Below are 19,926 nucleotides of genomic sequence, written 5' to 3'. Positions count from 1 at the left end.
CAAGAGAAAAATCTTGAAAACAGCAAGAGAAAAATGACTCATCAATCACAAGAGAAAACTCATAAAGTTAACAGCTGACTTATCAGCAGAAACAATGAAAGTCAGACAGTGGTGAGATAACATATTCAAAATGCTGAAAGGGGGAAAAATGTGTCAACCAGCAATCCTACATCCAGCAGTTATCTTTCGAAAATGAAAACAAAATAAAGACATTCCCAGATAAAAGCTGAGAGGACTTCACTGCTGGAAAACCAGGCTTAAAATAAATACCAAAGGTGACCCCAAACAGTAATTCAAATTAATATATACAAAAAAGAGCACTTTTGAGTCTTCTTCTATTTTATGTAATACCAAAGATAGTATTAATGCATATTTCTTCTCCTTTCTTCTCACATCTGATTTAAAAAGCATTGGTATAAAACAATACATATATGATGTATTTTTGGATCTATAACATATACAAATGTGATATATGTGCCAATACTAGCACAAAAGAAGTGAGTGAAAGTAAAGCTCTATTGGGCTAAGGATACGATTACAGATGGTAATGTAAACCCACAGGAACAAATGAAGAGAAGCAGAAAAGATAAACAAAATGGGTAATATAAAAAAAGTTCTATGTCTAGAAATGTTGAATATCCCTTATCTGAAATGCTTAGGACCAGATGTGTTTTCAATTTGGGATTTTTTTAAATCTTGGAATATATGCATTATACTTACCAGTTGAGCATCCCAAATCCAAAAATCCAAACTCCAAAATGCTCCACTGAGCATTTCCTTTGAGTGTCAAGTCAGTGATCAAGAAGTCTCAAATTTTGGAGCATTTTGGATTTTGGATCTTCATGTTTGGATGCTCAACCTGTACTTGCTCTCCTTTCTTCTTTCAGTTTCTTTGAAAGCCAATTATATATAGTGGTAATGTTAGCAATGTATTGTTGGTTTGTAACATTTATAGAGGTTACTAAGGAGGTAACTCAAAAAAGTATACTGAAAAAAATCACTAAGGCAATTAAAATGCTACATTAGAAAATACTCACTTAAGGCAAAAGAAAGCAATAATCACAAACTACAGAAACAAAAAGACATGAGACCCACAGAGGGGGGGAAAATAAGGCAGACATAAATCCGACCATACCAATAATAACATTAAATGTGAATGGACTAAACAACCAAAAGAAAAGACAAAGATAGTGAGACGATTTTTTTAAAAAGATCCAACTATTTGCCATCTACAGAATCTACACTTTAAATTCAGAGATACGACTAGATCGAAAGAAAAAATATATATAATGCAAACAGCAAACACAAGAAAGCTAGAGTGACTACATACTAATATCATACGAAACAGACTGAAACAAAATATTACTAGCTATAAAGAAGAACATTTTATAATGATAAGCCATCAGGAAGACAAAACAACAAATATAAACAGAATGCACCTAATAACAAGGCACAAAAATATATGAAGCAAAAACTGACAGAAATGAAGGGAGAAATAGATAATTCAACAATAACAGTTGGAGACTTCAATGCCTTACTTTCTATAATGGACACAACAACTAGGCACAAGACCAAGAAGGCAATAGGACTTGTACACTATAAACCAATTAGACCTAACAGAATAGAACACTCCACCCAACAACAGAAGAATGTACATTTATTTCAAGTGCTCACAGAACATTCTCCAGGACAGACTACATGCTAGCGAGGTCATAAAATAAACTTGAACAAATTTTCAAAGACTGAAATAATACAAAGTATGTTCTCAAGCCACAATGGAATGAAATAAGAAACTGATAAGAAAGAAATTGGAAAGCTAACTAATATGTGAAAATTAAACAATACACTACTAAATAATCGAGTCAAAGAAGAAATCAACAGGGAAATTGGAAAACAGTTTGAGAAGAATGGAAAGGAAGACACAATATACCAAAACTTATCAGATAAAGTAAAGCAATACCTAGAGAGAAATTGTGATGGTAAATATCTGTACATATTTTTTTAAATCTCAAATAGCCTAACCTTCTACCTTAAGCTACTAGAAAAAGAAGAGCAAACTACATCTAATACAAGCAGACAGAAGGAATTATTAGAGATTAGAGGTGAAATTGATGAGATCAAGGATAGAAAACCAATAAAAAATAATCAATGAAACCAAAAGGTAGTTCTCCAAAAAGATCAATAAAATTAACAAATCTTTAGCTAAAGTGACCGAGAAAAAAAGAGACAGGACACAAATCACTAGAACTGGAAATAAAATAGGGGATATTACTAGTAATCTTACAAAAATAAAAAGGATTATAAAGGAACACTATGAACAACTGTATAGCAATAAATTACATAACTTAGAGAAAATGGGACCGTCATTTACTGCTTGTGGGAATGTAAAATGGTGCAGCCATGCTAGAAAACAGTCTGGCTATTCTTCAAATGGTGAAACATAGGGTTATGACTTATATGGCCAGCAACTCCACTCCTAGGCTATAAACCCCCAAAAATAAAAATATGTCACACAAAAGTTTGTACATAAATGTTTAATGCAGCACAATTCATAACAGCCAAAATGTGGAAACAATCTCAGTAATGAATGGAGTAACAAAATGTAGAATATGCATGCGGTGGAATATTATTCAGTTATAAAAAAAGGAATGAGGTACTGATACACACAACTGTTGAATCTTTAAAATGTGGTAAGTGAAAGAAGCCAGTCATAAGATTACATATTATATAATTCCAAGTCTGTGTAATTTCCAGAACAGGCAAATCTATAGAGATCAAAAGAAGATCAGTAGTTGCTTAGGGCTTGGGGCAGGATTGCTGGGGAGCTGGAAGGAGGAATGGTGATAGCTAAAAGATACAGTTTCTTTCTGAGGTGAATTTCCAAAACTTTGTCAGAAGAGGCAAAGGGTTGACAGGTTACCTATTAGTACTATGCTGTCTTACCCCCTAACACAGAATTATCTACCACACCTACTCTTTCTCACCAAGACAAGTAGTATCACTTTAATTTGCGAATTTCCTTCCACTATACTGACAATATCACTAAGATTATCTGTCATTCTTTCCACTCTTTTCAACACTTTTAGAAATTCCTGGTATCTTGGAATTAACATCTCATGTTCACAGTTAGTTGTTGTTACAAATAAATTGGAAATTTGTCAGGCAGAAATTCCTAAGGCATGAATCATCTCTTCTATTTGCTCTTATCTGTCCATAGACTATGGAAAACTTTAATAACCACTTGATCAAACTCAAAACTCACAAGATTGAAATTCATTAAAGAAGGTGAGTATAAACCCTGACTTTAACCAGGAAAACATTTCTATTCAGAACCAAACTCCAAGTTCTAAGCTTTTGGTGAAATATTTCCTAAGTTCTAAGAAATGAAGACATTTGAGAATATTTATTTGAATCACAGCATTGTAATCTAAATATAAGCCAAAGACAAAATTGGACACCACTTAAATGCCAACCAACAGGGGTTTGGTTAAATACATCAGGGTATATTCAATGAATGGAATATCATGCAGCTGTCAGAAAGAATGAACTGGCTCTAAATGTGATGAGCAAAGAATAGTAAGCTCCCATTTGTTTTTTAAAAAATATATACATAGATGGTTATGGTAGATACAGGAGGCAGATAAGGGAGGGTCCCAGAGAATCTCTAACCCGCTCCACAAGTGTTTACATCAGATGCTTTTGTGCAGATGAGGGAACCTAACCAAGGCCTTGTCTGGGCATGCCCACAGCAGACTGGGGGCCCGCCTGTGCACTGGAAGAGTGGGGTACAGTCACCAGGAATGTGTGTCTTGTGCAGGGGGAAGAAGCCTGGGCTCTTCAGCTTGTGCATGTGGTGGCCTGGTATTCAATCTGTGAGGTGGGAGCCTGTTGGCAGAACCCCTTTTTTTGCTGAGAGCTTTCTTTTAATAACTTCCGCCCTCCTCACCTTTCAACGTGTCTGCATGGCTAATTTTTTCCTAGTCATACAACAAGATTTTAGCTGAGCTAAGGAACAAAAATCCTGCATCAGTTATATGTAGCAATAGTGTTGCCTTTGGACAGGGAAGATGCCTGTAAGACAGGGATAGGAGGCAAATTTTTCCCTATAACATTCTTGAGTAACTTTTGAATTTCCCATGTTTCTACATATCCAAATTTTATAAATGTACAAGTTATTACTTATTCAAAAAGTTTATTCTTAAATGTATATACTGTTACATTAACAAACTTTCTTTAAAATTCTCATTCTACATCAAAATTCTAAGGTACTAGTAAGAAGGCATCATGACTTAAATTTCTGTATATTGCTTCATATATATACTGCAGGCAATCTAAAGTAGTGAAACTCACCATAAATTTATAAATGAGACTTTTAAAAATTAGTAGTATAAAACGAGGCATTGCATTACTGCAAGGTTAATGAAATGACCAAGGTGAGTCTGTGCAACAAGCCAGCTAGGAATTCTGCATGGTCCCAGTGTAAGATAAAAATCCATCCAGGTCCCAAATGCAGTTTGACAGGGGCAGCTTCCATTCTGACTTAAGTTCAAACTCAGCTAATCACAAATGGATATTCCAAATTCACTGCATCAAAAGGCCCATTTATGTAGAGTTTTAATGTATTTATTGATTCTTTTTTTCTGGGAATATTATGTCAACAGAGTGATATAAAACTACTTAAATTATTTATTACTTAATTATATGTATGTTATGCCAGTACTTTATATTCACTTTGTATAATTGTTTCCAAATAACTCCATGGCAATGTGACATCAGAGAGGCTTGTATGTCATTCACTTTCCATTCTGCTTAAAAAAAAATAGTGTCAATAAACTTCAGAATTTTCTGTTTCATAATTTTCAAATATGTTTGTTCTCAAAGAAAACTGAAGGCTTCAAATGCTGTTTGATATAAAATGCAAGTATTTGCTTGAAGTGACTCTCATAATTTGAAAATATATTCTCAGGACTTAAGGATTAAGCACAGCAGGCATTTGATTATGAATCTTTTCTCTCCCTCTATTTTCTTCAACTCCCCAAAATATAATCAACAAGGAAAACAAAGCCACACAGGACCTAGATCTTCAGCATACAAGGAAACAAAAAACACTGCAACTTTCAAATTACCTCTAAGTAGAGATAAAAAGAAAAAATTCCAACAGATTTCCTGTAGCCTTCCAGCTGCTATAAGCTTATAAGTATGAAAAGTAAATAAAAGGAGTCTTATTAAAAGACTACACACAAAAAGTAGAGAGTAACAGAGGAACTAGAGGAAGTACAGCCAAAATTACTCCCAGAAAACAAAAGTGCAATAATAATGCCAAAATATTATACAGGACTTGGTAGTCCATAGCCCTGGCTATGGGAAGAAGTTTGAAAATGGAAGGAACCAGAAATGGCTGCCTTGGAGAAGCAAGATGTGTACACGTGTACACACGTAAAAGTATGTGGACTCCTTGCAGACAAGCCAGTAAAGAGAAAGAATAAAATAATAAAGAGAAATTAAAGACCCTATAGAAATGAAAGAGAAACAAGACATGCCAATTCTTCCTTCACTAAAAACACCACCATTTATAAACAAATAGCATAGCAGAGGGTAGAAGTGTCAGGAAAGAACACTCTCAAAATAGGAGCCCTTTCCAAGTAACAAATAGGACTAGAAAAAGGCATATCAGATCTGTAAACAAAACAACTACAAAAGTCAGAAAACGCCAATAAAAACATTACTATTGGTGAAAAGTCTCCACCCTAAAACCAGCCACGATCCTGAAGAAAGCTGTAACACAACATGAATTAAATATCATCAATCAAGCAACAGGGATATGAAAAAATACCTTGAATCAGAAATACAAACAAACAAAAACCAACAACAAGAAATGAAACAAGAGCTGACTAACCTGAGGAAAGAAACAGAACCAAAAAAAGGCACGTAAAAAGTAAAGGCTATGTTATAAACTACCCAAAGGAGAATACAAAATAGATTCAAATTAAAACTTAATACAGGGCATTGAAAAAAAAAACCAGAAAAATAATCAAGAGAATGAAAATTAAGAAGTCAGAGAAAAAGGGTCAGAGAAAAAGTGACTGAAATGGAAAACTAGCAAAGAAAGTCAAACATACGTATAATCAATGTCCCTGAGGATGAAAACTGAAACAATGAAAAAAAAAACCCTAATATTTAACACTACTATCCAAAAAAAAACTTCACAGAAATAAAAGGAGACCTGAATCTACAAATAGAAAGGGTCCACTGGGTGCTGAAGCAAAATAACCCAGGACTATCAACTCTAAGTTGCAAAAGTATTAGACTTTAGCAATAAAGAAAAAAAATCCTCAAGGCCTCCAGGCAAAAAGAGAAAATTAGCCTACTAAGAAAATTAAACAGGTATCATATTTCTTTAAAATAATATATAAAACAAAGTAACAGTGGAAATAGCATTTTAAAGAAACTTAAAGAAATTAATGACCAAAAGGTATATTCACTCAAGCTGTCCTTCAAGTATCACAGCCACAGAAAACCAGTTTGGAACATTCCAGAACTCTGGGGATATATAAATGTGCCTTTCCTGAGGAAACTACCAAAGGATGATCTTCATTTAAGCAAAGAATAACTAGTGAAACTTTACAAAAGAACTGACATTGAGTATTCCATCTCTTTAATTGTAGACAAAGACTAAAAGAAGGGTGAGTCATGGGTTAAAAAACAAAAATGTACTTTGTTTTTCAAATAAAAGAGCAAATCCATATATAGTAAATACCATATATAGAAACAGAATGGAAAGCATTTCAAATGCTTGAATATTTATTACATTTTTCATTATACTGATCATGTTATAGCATCTAAAATAGGAGAAAGCTACTTGTTGAAAAAAATCATGAAAAATTCATAACACAAAACAAGACAAACACATTAAACTTAATATGGTTAATCACGTATAGAGCTTAGTCGGATGGAGAAAATAGGTTTTTGGATAGTAATACTTTCAAGGTTGTCATCAAATGATTTAACTGAAAGAAATTTTTTTAAAGCTCAAGAAAAGTTTATGATTCACATTTAAGGCAGGAAGTTATTACACAGGTAGGTCAAAGTAGCAGATAAAATACATTTTACGTAAGAATATGATTTCATATAAATTTACTATTTCAATCATGCTGTCTCCTGGCCTATATTAAAATAACTCTATATTCACAAACTGAAATGGGGATTAGGGACCATAAATTGTAAAGATCACTGATATCAAAATAATAAGCAGCTACAACAGTATTTACTACACTAAATTGTTCAGCATAATCTCACTTAATCCTTATAACACACTTACGAAGATGAATAATTTTATTATTCCCATTTTATGGCTGAGGACACCGGGCACTGAAAATTATCTAACTTATACAAAGTCATGGAAATATAAGTAGTAGAATCAGGATGGAAATCCAGATCTGATAAAGACTTCATGGTTCATGCTCTTTTATCAGTATGCTATGTTGCATGTACTTTGTAATAAAATCTCATTTAACTATGGTAATTTAGACTCATAAATTTTAAATATTTCTTTTTTTTTTCTTTTTTTTTTTTTTTGAGACAAAGTCTCACTCCATCACCCAGGCTGGAGTGTAGTGGCATAATCTAGGCTCACTGCAGTCTGTAATCTCTGCCTCCCGGGTTCAAGCGATTCTTGTGCTTCAGCCTCTCAAGTAGCTGGGATTACAGGCATGCACCACCACACCCGACTAATTTTTGTATTTTTAGTAGAGATGGGGTTTCAACATGTTGGTCAGGCTGGTCTTGAATGCCTGACCTCAAGTGATCCACCCGCCTCAGCCTTGCAAAGTGCTGGGATTACAGGTGTGAGCCACCACGCCCAGCCCAATCTCTTATAGTTCTTTGCTTACTTTACTATAATAACTTTGTCCCTTCCTTAAATTCATACAGTTAGTGACTACCTACGGAGGTAGCCCAGTCTTTTAGATAAAAGTTCAAATCATTTTAAAAGGCATGAAAAGACCAAATTATCTCTCGAACTACCCTGTAGCCCTTACCATTCTGCTCCTAGACCTGCTGCCTGTTCTACTCCACAATTAAACCTTACATTCCAGTCATACTGAAAAACCAGCAGCCTCATAATGAGGCAGACATGGCCCTTTCTCATTTCTAAGCCCACCAACATGATGGTCACTCTGCAGGGCAACTCCCCTCTTCTGTCTTCCCTCAACTTGACCTGGAATTATTTTCTTCTTATCAACCTCAAAGACCACTTTAGGTATGGCCTCCCTGGGGAAGCCTTTGTAAGCACCTATCAACTTCATCTTGTTCATATTTCTTCTGCATTTTACTTGATCATGTAATTTGTCACGCTGTTGTATAATTGTCTGTTATTATCTGTCTCAAATGTCCCAGCATAATATCTAGCAACTAGAATTTTTAAAAGGCTAACTGATGGGAGAAAAAAAAGTATAATGTGGCTATTTGAAAAAAAAATTATTTATATTTATAGAGTTGACTCCAATTATGTAAATATCAATAATGTAATGAAAAATTATGAGTTTTAATAGCTATTTTCGTTATTCAACTTGACTTCTGATGGCAAAAAGTTACATTCCTCTAATTTGTAGATGATGCATTAGTATAAGAAGTCCCAGAATAATATTAAGTAACCATATTATTTTAAATGAATTTAAGATTATTTTTCTTATTACAAATATAGTTTTGTTTTTTCATAGAAGAGTATGCTGATCAGAAAAGGAATAAACTGAGTAAACTGGTGAGATATCTTGACAAAGGTCTGTCATTGGTTACCATGAAAAACATCTAAGCAATACTACTGGTCATCAGCCAAACAACTGATCTCTACCACATCACTAAGAAACATAGTTTATTATACTTTCCCTCTTTGATGTTACTGTCAAAGAATAGAATTTATGCCTAACATCTTAGTTTATTGTACCTGCTCTTTTATTCATGAATATAGCTAAATGTTACCAAAATATATCTTCTGCAGCTTGGACCACCTTCTGAAGTGAATAATGAGCTCCTCTGTTAATGTAGAAACACTTGTTTATTTTAATTTATTTCTCTGAATTTAAGGAATGTCCCTCTCCCATCCTAAAAATTGAAAAATAAGCCCATGTTTACTTTATCCATACAATTCACCATGCCTACATAATAATTATTTTAAGGTTACTTCTTTCCAGATCTGCACAGGACTTAAATGTTTTAGACGAGATGAACTACATTCAAATCCACCCAGCATTAAGTAACCAAGAAAATGATACTATTTGTGTAGTGAAAAATTAAAAGACCAACAAAAGTTTAAAATATATGTGAACCAGAATTTTAAATTCCACTTCTAATAGTAATTAATTTTATAAAATACATAATTACAGAAAGACAAGACAATAAGATAATGCTTTATCAATCCTTTCCTCCGATAATTCTGACAAGATTTAAGAATACTATAATACAAAATGTCAAAATAAACCATTTTAAATCCTAATGACCACTTTTCCTGAAATTCATTAAAAATTCTAAAATAAAAATTAAAAGATCAAGCTGTCTCTAGAAACATAAAAAAGCAAAATGTAAGAGGAAGTTTAATCAGATGTTCTCATAATAAAACTTTATAGTCTTAAAATGATAAAAATTTAAAAAATTCCTTAAACATATAAAACATGTCTTTCAAAGATCTGATGTCACAATATAAAGATTTTCACAAAACTGCATGACTAACCTGTATTTTTTCTTAATAAATTTACAGTTATATTTACCTTCAGATCCCATGATGAAGTGATGGATATCAGGGCCTGTTGACATACGAGGTCCTTGACAGCTTTTTTCTATTATACCTCTAGGTGTTACCATTTTTATATGAACCACCTGTTTAATACAATACACGATGTAAATTCTAGACATCTGTTAGTGAATGTGTGTCTATGTACAGACATTTATATATATTTATGTAAAACCTACTTTTAAAGTATTGGGTTAAGTAATAAATTGTGATGCTTTTAAGAATTCTAGTATCTTTTAGTAATTTTTAGACTAAAGTTAAATTTGTATATAACCTTAAAAGAGGGAAAAACCATTCTAAGATTGTACATCTCTTGATTTAAAGTGGTTTATTTATTATCTTAAGAACAACAGAATAACACATTTATTTAAACCAAATTTAGGGTTATCCATATGGCACAGAACTAACGGACTCAAAAACTAAGCAATAATCATAACCTTTATGAAGCATATTATTCATGTCAGGCACTGCTCTAGACACTTAGAATTCTAAGAAAAAAATTATTCTCCCTTTATCCCCACCTTCAATCCCACTTAGTAGAAAACAGTGAAAAGAATTAAATATTAATTATGACCAGGTCAAATTGGGATGAAGCAGTAGAAACAATGACTGAACTTAAGAGAAGGAAAGAGATGTGTGACTCATCATACAAATGAGAAAGTAAGTATACTGGGGAAGTAGGATCACTCTAAAAATAGTTCCTGAGATCTGAATCAGAAGTGGTTAGGTAAAAATCCAAAATATTTTTAGAATGAATTTTGGACCGATAAATAACAACAGTCTATTTATTATTGAAGGAAATGAGCAGAGAACATCAATAAGCAATACACAAAATACAAAATAAAAATTGCCAATGAGGACCCCTTAAAAGTTTACATTCACTAGCAATTAACAAAATACAAAAACATAAATAAGACGTCCAGTAAATTACAAAGATTCTCATGGTGTTAGTGAGAATGTCAATTGGTACAAAATTTTTATAGGGCAATTTGGCTGTAAGGATCCAAAGTCTAAAATGTATAAACTTCTTGATCCAACAAATCAACTAAAGGAGCTTACCCAAAGAAAATGATTAAAGATGTATATACCAAAGAAATTTTAAAAAGAATATTTTTCCTTTATTTTCTGTAATTCTGAAATCAAGAATAATTTAAATGTTCATTAAGAGGGAGTTAAATAAACCATGCATTCTCAATAAAAGAATTATATAACTCTTTAAAAACAATGGTGCAAACCTGTTCATTTACATGTTAATATATTGATGACATAATTTAAAGAGCAGATGAAACACATATGGTCCTCTTTTTTATATTAAAAACTAGATACATTCATGTGCTTATTGCATGCCTAGAAACAGTTCTAGAAGTGATGGCACCAGCAGCCCATCTGGAGTGGCTGCTGCAAAGACATTGGCTGCAGTGGGGGTGGCATGACCAGGGCTGTGCACTGCATGGAGCCAACGGGAGCTGGAAACAGGTGGAAGCCCCACCCCCTTCCTAGTTGGCAGAGCAAAAGCCACGCATTCCTGAGTGCAGCTGTGGCAGCCCAGCTGTGGCTCTGGATCCAGGCATCCCTGTGCTCTTGGGGGCCGGAAGCACGCAGGAATCCTACCCTCCTGGACACAGCTGCAGCCACCCAGCTGTGGCTGCAGACCCAGGCATCTCTACACTCTTGGGGGCCTGGGAAGCCCCCAGCCCCTGCAGGCTCGGAAGTGTCTGCTTCCACCGCCTGGCTTCTCCCCATTCCAGTGCCTGCTCCAATCTTGGAGAAAAGTTGAGGCCGAGCCTGCGTGCTGTTGCAACCCAGCCGGGTGTGCGCATGCTCAGGGCAGTGCTGACATGCCAGCACCCTGCTGCCTCAGCCCCCTCCAGACTTTGGGCACCAATGAGCACAGAAGGGAGGATAAGTGCTGGCTGAGGGCAGCTTGGCACTGGCCTGCAGGAGGCCCTTAGCACGAACAGCCTGGGCATCTGGGCACCATAAACAGTGGCAGGAGGCAGACAGGCTCCTGGGCGGAAATGGGCGGTCCCCGGTGAAACCCCACCTTCAAGCCAGGGAGGGCCTGACGCCTGGGGGCTGGGCTGCCAGTTCCACGGACTGGAGTGGGAACTTATGATGCTTTTTCCGGGATTGCCCATAACCACCCATGGACCAATCAGCACAAACTTCCTCCCCTCTGAACCCCATAAAAACCCAGGACTCAGCCAGAATTAGGCAGATGCCAGGATTACCTGTCTGCAGAATGGAGCTACCCACTGTGGATCTCCTTTCTGCTGAGAGCTGACACTCATCAGGATGCCCTGCTTATGGAGAGGAGCTACCCACTGTGTGTCTCCTCTCTCCTGAGGGCTAAACACTCATCAGGATGCCCTGCCTGTGGAGAGGAACTACCCTCTGTGGGCTCTCTGCTGAGAGCTGGATGCTCATCAGGATGGCCTACCTGCGGAAAGGAGCTACCCAATATGAGTCTCCTCTGAGCTGTTTTGTCACTCAATAAAGCACTCCTTCACCTTGCTCACCCTCCACTTGTCCGCATACCTCATTCTTCCTGGATGTGGGACAAAAACTCAGGACCCGCTAAATGGCGGAGCTGAAAGGGCTGTAACACAAACAGGGCTGAAACACACCCCTTGTTTGCCCCATGGAGGGCAACGAGAGGGAAAGAGAGGAAAGAGAAGGAGAGAAGAGCTGTGGCCCTTCAAGGAGCCCAGACCTAGGAGCTCCCTGAGCCAGGGCTATGGCTCACTCTTTGGGGCTCTGCAGTCCCTGGCGTCTCCAAGCTTCCAGGCACCACCACATTCCCTGGTGCCACCAATGGAAGCTGCTTGCAGTATGCCTGGTCCAGCAGCAGCCTTGTAGGGAGCTGATGCCTGGAGCTGCCCGTCCTGCCACAGCTGGCGTGCCTGACTGTGCGCTGTGGCCAGACTCCACACTCACTCATTCACACACCCCTCACTACTCTGTGCCTGGCTCGCCGTTGGCAAGCATGGGATCCAGACCAGCAGCGTGAGCCAAGCACAGCCTGCCAGGCCGAGTGGGCTGAACAAGCCCAGTGGGCCCAAGCAAAACTTGGGCAAAGGTGCCGCCAGACAGAAGTTTCTGGCTAAAAAAGTGACACCCCAAGAATCCCATGACAGAAGGATGAATACGAAGATGTTAAAAGTGTTCAAAATGATATGTATTTAATATACACAGGACACTTAAAAAAAAAATAGGATCTTGCTTTGTCACCCAGGCTGGAGTGCAGTGGTGGGATGATAGCTCACTGTAACTTCAAACTCCTGGGCTCAAGCAGTTATCCCACTCCAGCCTCCTGAGTAGCTAGAACTACAAGTATGTGCTACCATGCTCAGCTAATTTTTTAATTTTTTGTAGAGATGACATCTTGCTCTGTTGCCCAGGCTGGTCTCCAACTCCTGGCCTCAAGCCTTGTCCTCTCAAAGTGCTGGGATTACAGGTGTGAACTACCATGCCCAGCTATAGCATACATTTTTTATACTTCTGTAATGAATATTTTTAAATAAAAAATAAGTTTCTAATTGCTTGAATTGTCTATTCCAATTATAATTTTAAAAGAAGCATTTTCTTCAGAAAATGAAATGCTCACTGCATCATACTTTACTTTCTTTTGTGAAGATCCAGAATTTTTAGTTTGGTTTTGTCACTACAGAGTTCAATGTTTTTCCTTCTAACAGTGCTTCATAACTGAAGAATGTAGCAAGGCTCCTTTCATAGAAGCAGTGGATTACCGCTAATAGCGATGAGCTTCAGCTCTGTAACACTAGCACAAGAAAGTGTAATCAGATATGCTCAGGAAATCCGTTAGTGAAGAGACATTCACTAAATTGAGAAGTATTTGAGATGGACTATAGTTGGAATTCCTTAAAATGATCTTGAAAACAAGTGGGAACCAGAATTTAAGATGAAAAGTATATCCCATTGTACACAGACTTCTGACTCTTCAGATGTTAAAACTTTTAAATTTTTAAAAAATTTGGACTAAACAACTATCTTCAACTTTTTTCAAACAGTTAAATAAGCTATGAGCATCGTTACTGTGCTTTAATTAAATATGCACTAATGTTACGAAATATATTAACACGTTCTTTAATTTTTTCACAGGTTCCATTGTAGCCACATGTATTAAAAGAATATCAACTTTAGAAAAATTGTCATAAAAGCAAACAATATAAATTAAGACAGCTTCAGAGGATACTATATATTGCAGAGTTAAAAATTTAAGTTAAAAATAAAACGTGCTGGCTGGGCACGGTGGCTCATGCCTGTAATTCCAGCACTTTGGGAGGCCGAGGCAGGAGGAGTACCTCAGGTCAGGAGTTCAAGACCAGCCTGGCCAACATGGAGAAACCCTATCTCTACTAAAAATACAAAATTAGCTGGGCATGGTGGTGCATGCCTGTAATCTGAGCTACTCTGGAGGCTGAGGCAGGAGAATCGCTTGAACCCGGGACGCGGAGGTTGCAGTGAGCTGAGATTGTGCCACTGCACTCCAGCCTGGGCAACAAGAGCGAAATTCTGTCTCAAAAACAAACAAAATAAAATAAAATAAAATAAAATGCACTAAGTAATTATTAATGCAAATAATTACACTAGGATGTACACTTATAATTTGTATCCCTTAAATATCTCCAAAAAATGATTAAAATAAACTACATGATTTCACAGTGCTAAATGTAGCTGTTTACCAAATATTTGCTTAACTCTGATAAAGTCCTTAATAATCCAATAGCAAAAGGATCAAATTTTCTCCCCAAAACTGAATTTAGGTTATTTTAATTGCAAAAAGAAAAATGTGCTTTTCTAAATGCCTTGAATAAAGAAAAATAAATAGGATAATGAAAATATTTAAAAAGTATTCACAATATAGACAAAAGTTTTTAATTCCTCAGTGTTAACTATAAAGAACCAATATATTTTATTAAAGATTTAATATTCCTAATAACAAAGATATTGATGAAAATGTGGAAACTTTAGATTTCAAAAGCAAAGCTAAATAGCTCCAGGAATAATGTTGGGAACATCACTTTAATAGTCTCAAATTAAAGTTCTTTTAAACTACTATGAAAATATTGACGATAAGGAAACAACATTTATGAAGCACCTACTACACACCAGAGATTTTGAGTTTTCATTTTATGTCCTTTACTCCTCACAATAATTCTATGCAGCAAATATCATTATTCTATTTTACAGAAGAGGAAACTGAAGTTTAGAAACGTAAACCAATTTGTACAAATTCACACAACTAATCATTGAAAAAGCAACAAATGATACCTAATCCCTAACTAGGGTGCCCAGAGTTATATACTATTATTATACTAACTCCCAGCAAAGTGGCACCATATCAGCTACAAAAAGCAGTGTGCACATAAAACATGACAGGTCTTACCACTACTTGGTAGAACAATTTCAATCAGCCTATTTAATTCTATACAGGAAAAATTATTTTCAGAAAAATGCAAAATCTCCTAAGGAAACAGAGTAGCAAAAACGAAATCATCTAAGTAAATGGACTAAAATCACGGTAGAGTTGAAGACTTCATTTCCACGAGGCTTGTAAAATAATATTTGTATACAGACATCCATCAGTATCCCCATAGAACTGGTTCTAGGACCTTCGAGGATACCAAAATCCATAGTACTCAAGTCCCTTACATAAAACAGCACAGTATTTATATAAAACCTATGCACATCCTCTCACATGCTTTAAATCATTTTAGAATATTTATGAATAATACAATGTAAATACTATGTAAATTGTTGTTCTACTATATTTTTTGTATTATTTTCCTTGTGGTATTGTTATTTTTTTTTCCAAATATTTTTGAGCTGCATTTGGTTGAATTTGTGGATACGAAACCAGTGGATATAGAGAGCTGACCGTATTTTATGAGCTGGATACTGTGAAACATCTACAAAGCTTAAAATGTAGTCACCTGAAAAGGGGCATCCTTAAATAATGACCACAGTTGTGTTTTGATTAACTTTCTACTATACATGTCCAATGTTATTATAGTCAAAAGGAGTTTATTTATGGGAGGGGGGAATCTACCATCCAACTCTTTTTCTTTTTTCTTTTTTTTTTTTTGAGACAGAATCTCGCTCTGTCGCCCAGGCTGGAGTGCAGTGGCACAATTTCGGCTCACTGCAAGCTCTGCCTCCCAGGTTCATGCCATTCTCCTGCCTCAGCCTCCCGAGTAGCTGGGACTACAGGAGCCCGCCACCACACCCGACTAATTTTTTTTTGTATTTTTAGTAGAGACGGGGTTTCACCTTGTTAGCCAGGATGGTCTCGATCTCCTGACCTCATGATCCGCCCGCCTCGGCCTCCCAAAGTGCTGGGATTACAGGCATTGGCCACCGCGCCCAGGCCCAACTCTTAATTTTTAAAGGCTTCTAATCATTTTATAATAATATCTATATACTAATCAATTATTACATAATAACTAGAAAAATATTTACCAGGTCCTCGATATTGCCATAGATATTCTTCTTCATGCCTGATGCGCGAGTAGATACCCATCCTCCTACAGTACTGAACTCCAGGGAATCTGGTTCATGACCTGTACAATAACCACTTTCTTTAAGCTGAAAAACAAAAATTTAACATTTTACAGTGAAAATGGTCCCATTACGTACAGCACTCAACACATTAACTCCTCCCACTTTAAAATTTCCATGTCATTGATATTTGAATTTATTAATTCCTACATAGCAAAAAAAAAAAAAAAAGATACTTTTATCACACTAGTCCTAAAAATTTTTTTAAGCTTTTGCCTAGTGGAAAATGTTACAAGATTAAAAAATGTAGGCCAAAAGAAGTTCTATTTTTCACAGGTTGACCAGATAATCATACTCCTTACATCCTTTTGTTTTAAGGCCAGCTGTCCTTCCCCACTTTTTTTTTCTACAAAGAGATAGTTTAAATATTTATGGAGATCAGATTATGCTTAAATAACAGCCAACTTTACCTAAACACTTTCAATAAATAAAGCACTTAATCTCTTGTTCTCTCTACCCTAATGTAATATGCAGCAGGCCTGCAGAAAATCCGAGCAAATTGCCTGTACTTAATTCTCTCAAGGAGTCATGTGTTTTAATGTACAGGCATCTGGATAGGTTTCCTGCATGTAATAACGTCATTTATTTGTGATGCAGATCATGCATTACTATACATTAAATAGTCACTTGTTTCTCATTTTTCTATATTATCTTGGCTTTGCCATCTGCACAGCACCTGAGATTGAATAGATGCCCTTTACTGCAACACCACCAAAGCCATTCCAATGAAATCATTTTAAAGACTCAGCCATCTCTTCTCAAACGGTACAGACACCACCATCTGCATACCCGCTGTCTGCTACACTCAAGCCCATCAATCTGTGTTGACCATTTTGATAGTCATCCAGTTAAGCAACTGTTCTATTTTTCAAGTAAGCCACACAGCTATGTAGAATATGTCAGCCACGTCTGTATATTTGTATTTAAGTATGGTGTGAAAGTTGTAATCCAAAATATGAAAGCCTATTAGGTTAAATATAATTTGTTAGGTTTTGCATATCAGCAATACAAATTCTCTATCTATTCTAATTTTGCTGCTAGGAAAACAAGATTTTAAAAGACATCAACTGTTATATAATAAAAGTTTCTCCACTAAATATTCAATATATTATTTAGTTTTAAGAGATTAATATCCATCTATTAAAAAGAAGCTTAAATAAATGGCTGAAGAGGTTAAAATGAAGATTATCAGACTGTTACATTATATTTCTTCCCTAACTCCATCTCCAAACAAAATACTATGAATTATTTTCTCTTAAAACACTACTGTTACTCAATTTTCTTTTAAAACATAAACTTTTACTCAATTTTATGAAATTGGGAAAAGAAAAAAAGACATTCATGGAGCCCTAAGATGTACCAGGTACTGAAAAGAGAGGTTTCACATACTGTCATGACAAAACAAACTTCACATTATACAGAAGCAAATCTTTAAGTACACACTTTAACTAATTTTTTAAGTGTGTTAATTCATTTAATCTGCTCAACAACCATATGAAGCTGACACTATTATTATTCCTATTTTCACAGATGGGAAACAGTTAAATCACTTGTTTTAACTGATGGTTCCCCAAATGGTACCTCTTACTTGCATTTTTTTTTATCATTATACTTTAAGTTCTGGGGTACATGTGCAGAACGTGCAGTTTTGTTACATAGGTATACACATGCCATGGTGGTTTGCTGCACCCATCAATCCATCATCTACATGAGGTATTTCTCCTAATGTTATCCCTCCCCTAGCCTCCCACCGCGCCCCAGGCCCCACTGTGTGATGTTCCTCTCCCTGTATCCATGTGTACTCATTGTTCAACTCCCACTTATGAGTGAGAACATGTGGTGTTTTGTTTTCTGATCTTGTGATAGTTTGCTGAGAATGATGGTTTCCAGCTTTATCCATGTCCCCACAAAGGACATGAACTCATCCTTTTTTATGGCTGCATAGTATTCCATGGTGTATATGTGCCACATTTTCTTAATCCAGTCTATCATTGATGGACATTTGGGTTGGTTCCAAGTCTTTGCTATTGTGAATAGTGCTGCAGTAAACATACATGTGCATGTGTCTTTATCGTAGGCTGATTTATAATCCTTTGGGTATATACCCAGTAATGGGATTGCTGGGTCAAATGGTATTTCTAGTTCTAGATCCTTGAGAAATTGCCACACTGTCTTCCACAATGGTTGAACTAATTTACACTCCCAACAGCATAAGAGCGTTCCTATTTTTCCACAACCTCTCCAGCATATGTTGTTTCTTGATTTTTTAATGATTGCCATTCTAACTGGCGTGAAATGGTATCTCATTGTGGTTTTGATTTGCATTTCGCTAATAACCAGTGATGATGAGCATTTTTTCATATGTCTGTTGGCTGCATAAATGTCTTCTTTTGAGAAGTGTCTGTTCATATCCTTTGCCCATTTTTTGATGGGGTTGTTTTTTTCTTGTAAATTTGTTTATGTTCTTTGTAGATTCTGGATATTAGCCCTTTGTCAGATGGATAGATTGCAAAAATTTTCTCCCATTCTGTAGGTTGCCTGTTCACTCTGATGATAGTTTCTTTTGCTGTGCAGAAGCTCTTTAGGTTAATTAAATCCCATTTGTCAATTTTGGCTTTTGTTGCCATTGCTTTTGGTGTTTTAGACATGAAGTCTTTGCCCATGCCTATGTCCTAAATGGCATTGTCCAGGTTTTCTTCTAGGATTTTTATGGTCCTAGGTCTTGCATTTAAGTCTTTGATCCATCTTGAGTTGATTTTTTTATAAGGTGTAAGGAAGGGGTCCAGTTTCAGTTTTCTGCATATGGCTAGCCAGTTTTCCCAACACCATTGATTAAATAGGGAATCTTTCCCCCATGGCTTGTATCAGGTTTGTGAAAGATTAGATGGTTGTAGATGTGTGGTGTTATTTCTGAGGCCTCCGTTCTTTTCCATTGGCCTATACATCTGTTTTGGTACCAGTATCATGCTGTTTTGGTTACTGTGGCCTTGTAGTATAGTTTGAAGTCAGGTAGCATGATGCCTCCAGCTTTGTTCTTCTTGTCCAGGATTGTCTTGGCTACGTGGGCTCTTTTTTTGTTCCATATGAAGTTTAAAGTAGTTTTTTCCAATTCTGTGAAGAAAGTAAGTGGTAGCTTGATGGGAATAGCATTGCATCTACAAATTACTTTGGGCAGTATGGCCATTTTCATAGTATTGATTCTTCCTATCCATGAGCATGGAATGTTTTTCCATTTGTTTGTGTTCTCTCTTATTTCCTTGAGCAGCAGTTTGTAGTTCTCCTTGAAGAGGTCCTTCACATCCCTTGTAAGTTGGATTCCTAGGTATTTTATTCTCTTAGTAGCAATTGTGAATAGGAGTTCACTCATGATTTGGCTCTCTGTTATTGGTGTATAGGAATGCTTGTGATTTTTGCACCCTATCCTGAGACTTTGTGGAAGTTGCTTATCAGCTTAAGGAGATTTTGGGCTGAGACGATGGGGTTTTCTAAATATACAATCATGTCATCTGCAAACAGAGACAATTTGACTTCCTCTCTTCCTATTTGAATACGCTTTATTT

The 19,926-nt window shown here is 36.1% G+C and overlaps 1 protein-coding gene and 1 long non-coding RNA gene across 5 annotated transcripts in view, besides 1 other annotated feature; one reads left to right on the top strand and one right to left on the bottom strand.

Moving 5' to 3' along the window:
• AGPS (alkylglycerone phosphate synthase) overlaps positions 1–19,926 on the bottom strand; it is a 151,062-nt gene that overhangs the window by 65,549 nt on the left and 65,587 nt on the right. For 3 of the 4 annotated variants that reach the window (NM_003659.4, XM_011512041.3, XM_047446104.1), the window contains exons 9-10: positions 16,268–16,393; positions 9,762–9,870 (exon numbers count right to left, since the gene is read on the bottom strand). In NM_003659.4, the coding sequence (NP_003650.1) occupies positions 9,762–9,870; positions 16,268–16,393 (235 nt within the window). The remainder of the gene's footprint in view (positions 1–9,761; positions 9,871–16,267; positions 16,394–19,926) is intronic. The other variant, XM_047446105.1, reaches the window with a different exon arrangement.
• LOC105373762 (uncharacterized) lies at positions 1,892–5,122 on the top strand. The gene is made up of 3 exons (XR_923624.3): positions 1,892–1,979; positions 3,218–3,285; positions 5,055–5,122. It is a non-coding gene; the product is annotated as an uncharacterized LOC105373762 (long non-coding RNA).
• Positions 3,051–4,250: an enhancer, noted in NCBI's record as "MED14-independent group 3 enhancer chr2:178338764-178339963 (GRCh37/hg19 assembly coordinates)". NCBI's record gives its function as "activates an origin of replication core promoter dependent on BRD2, BRD4, P300/CBP and CDK7 cofactors, and independent of MED14, by STARR-seq in HCT116 cells {active_cell/tissue: HCT116}" and the evidence as "EXISTENCE:reporter gene assay evidence [ECO:0000049][PMID:35650434]".

This window comes from Homo sapiens, chromosome 2 (genome assembly GCF_000001405.40).
Source record: "Homo sapiens chromosome 2, GRCh38.p14 Primary Assembly".
NCBI lineage: Eukaryota > Metazoa > Chordata > Mammalia > Primates > Hominidae > Homo > Homo sapiens.
Note: the sequence above shows the minus strand (reverse complement) of the source record. Positions and strands in the feature narration are given on the sequence as shown.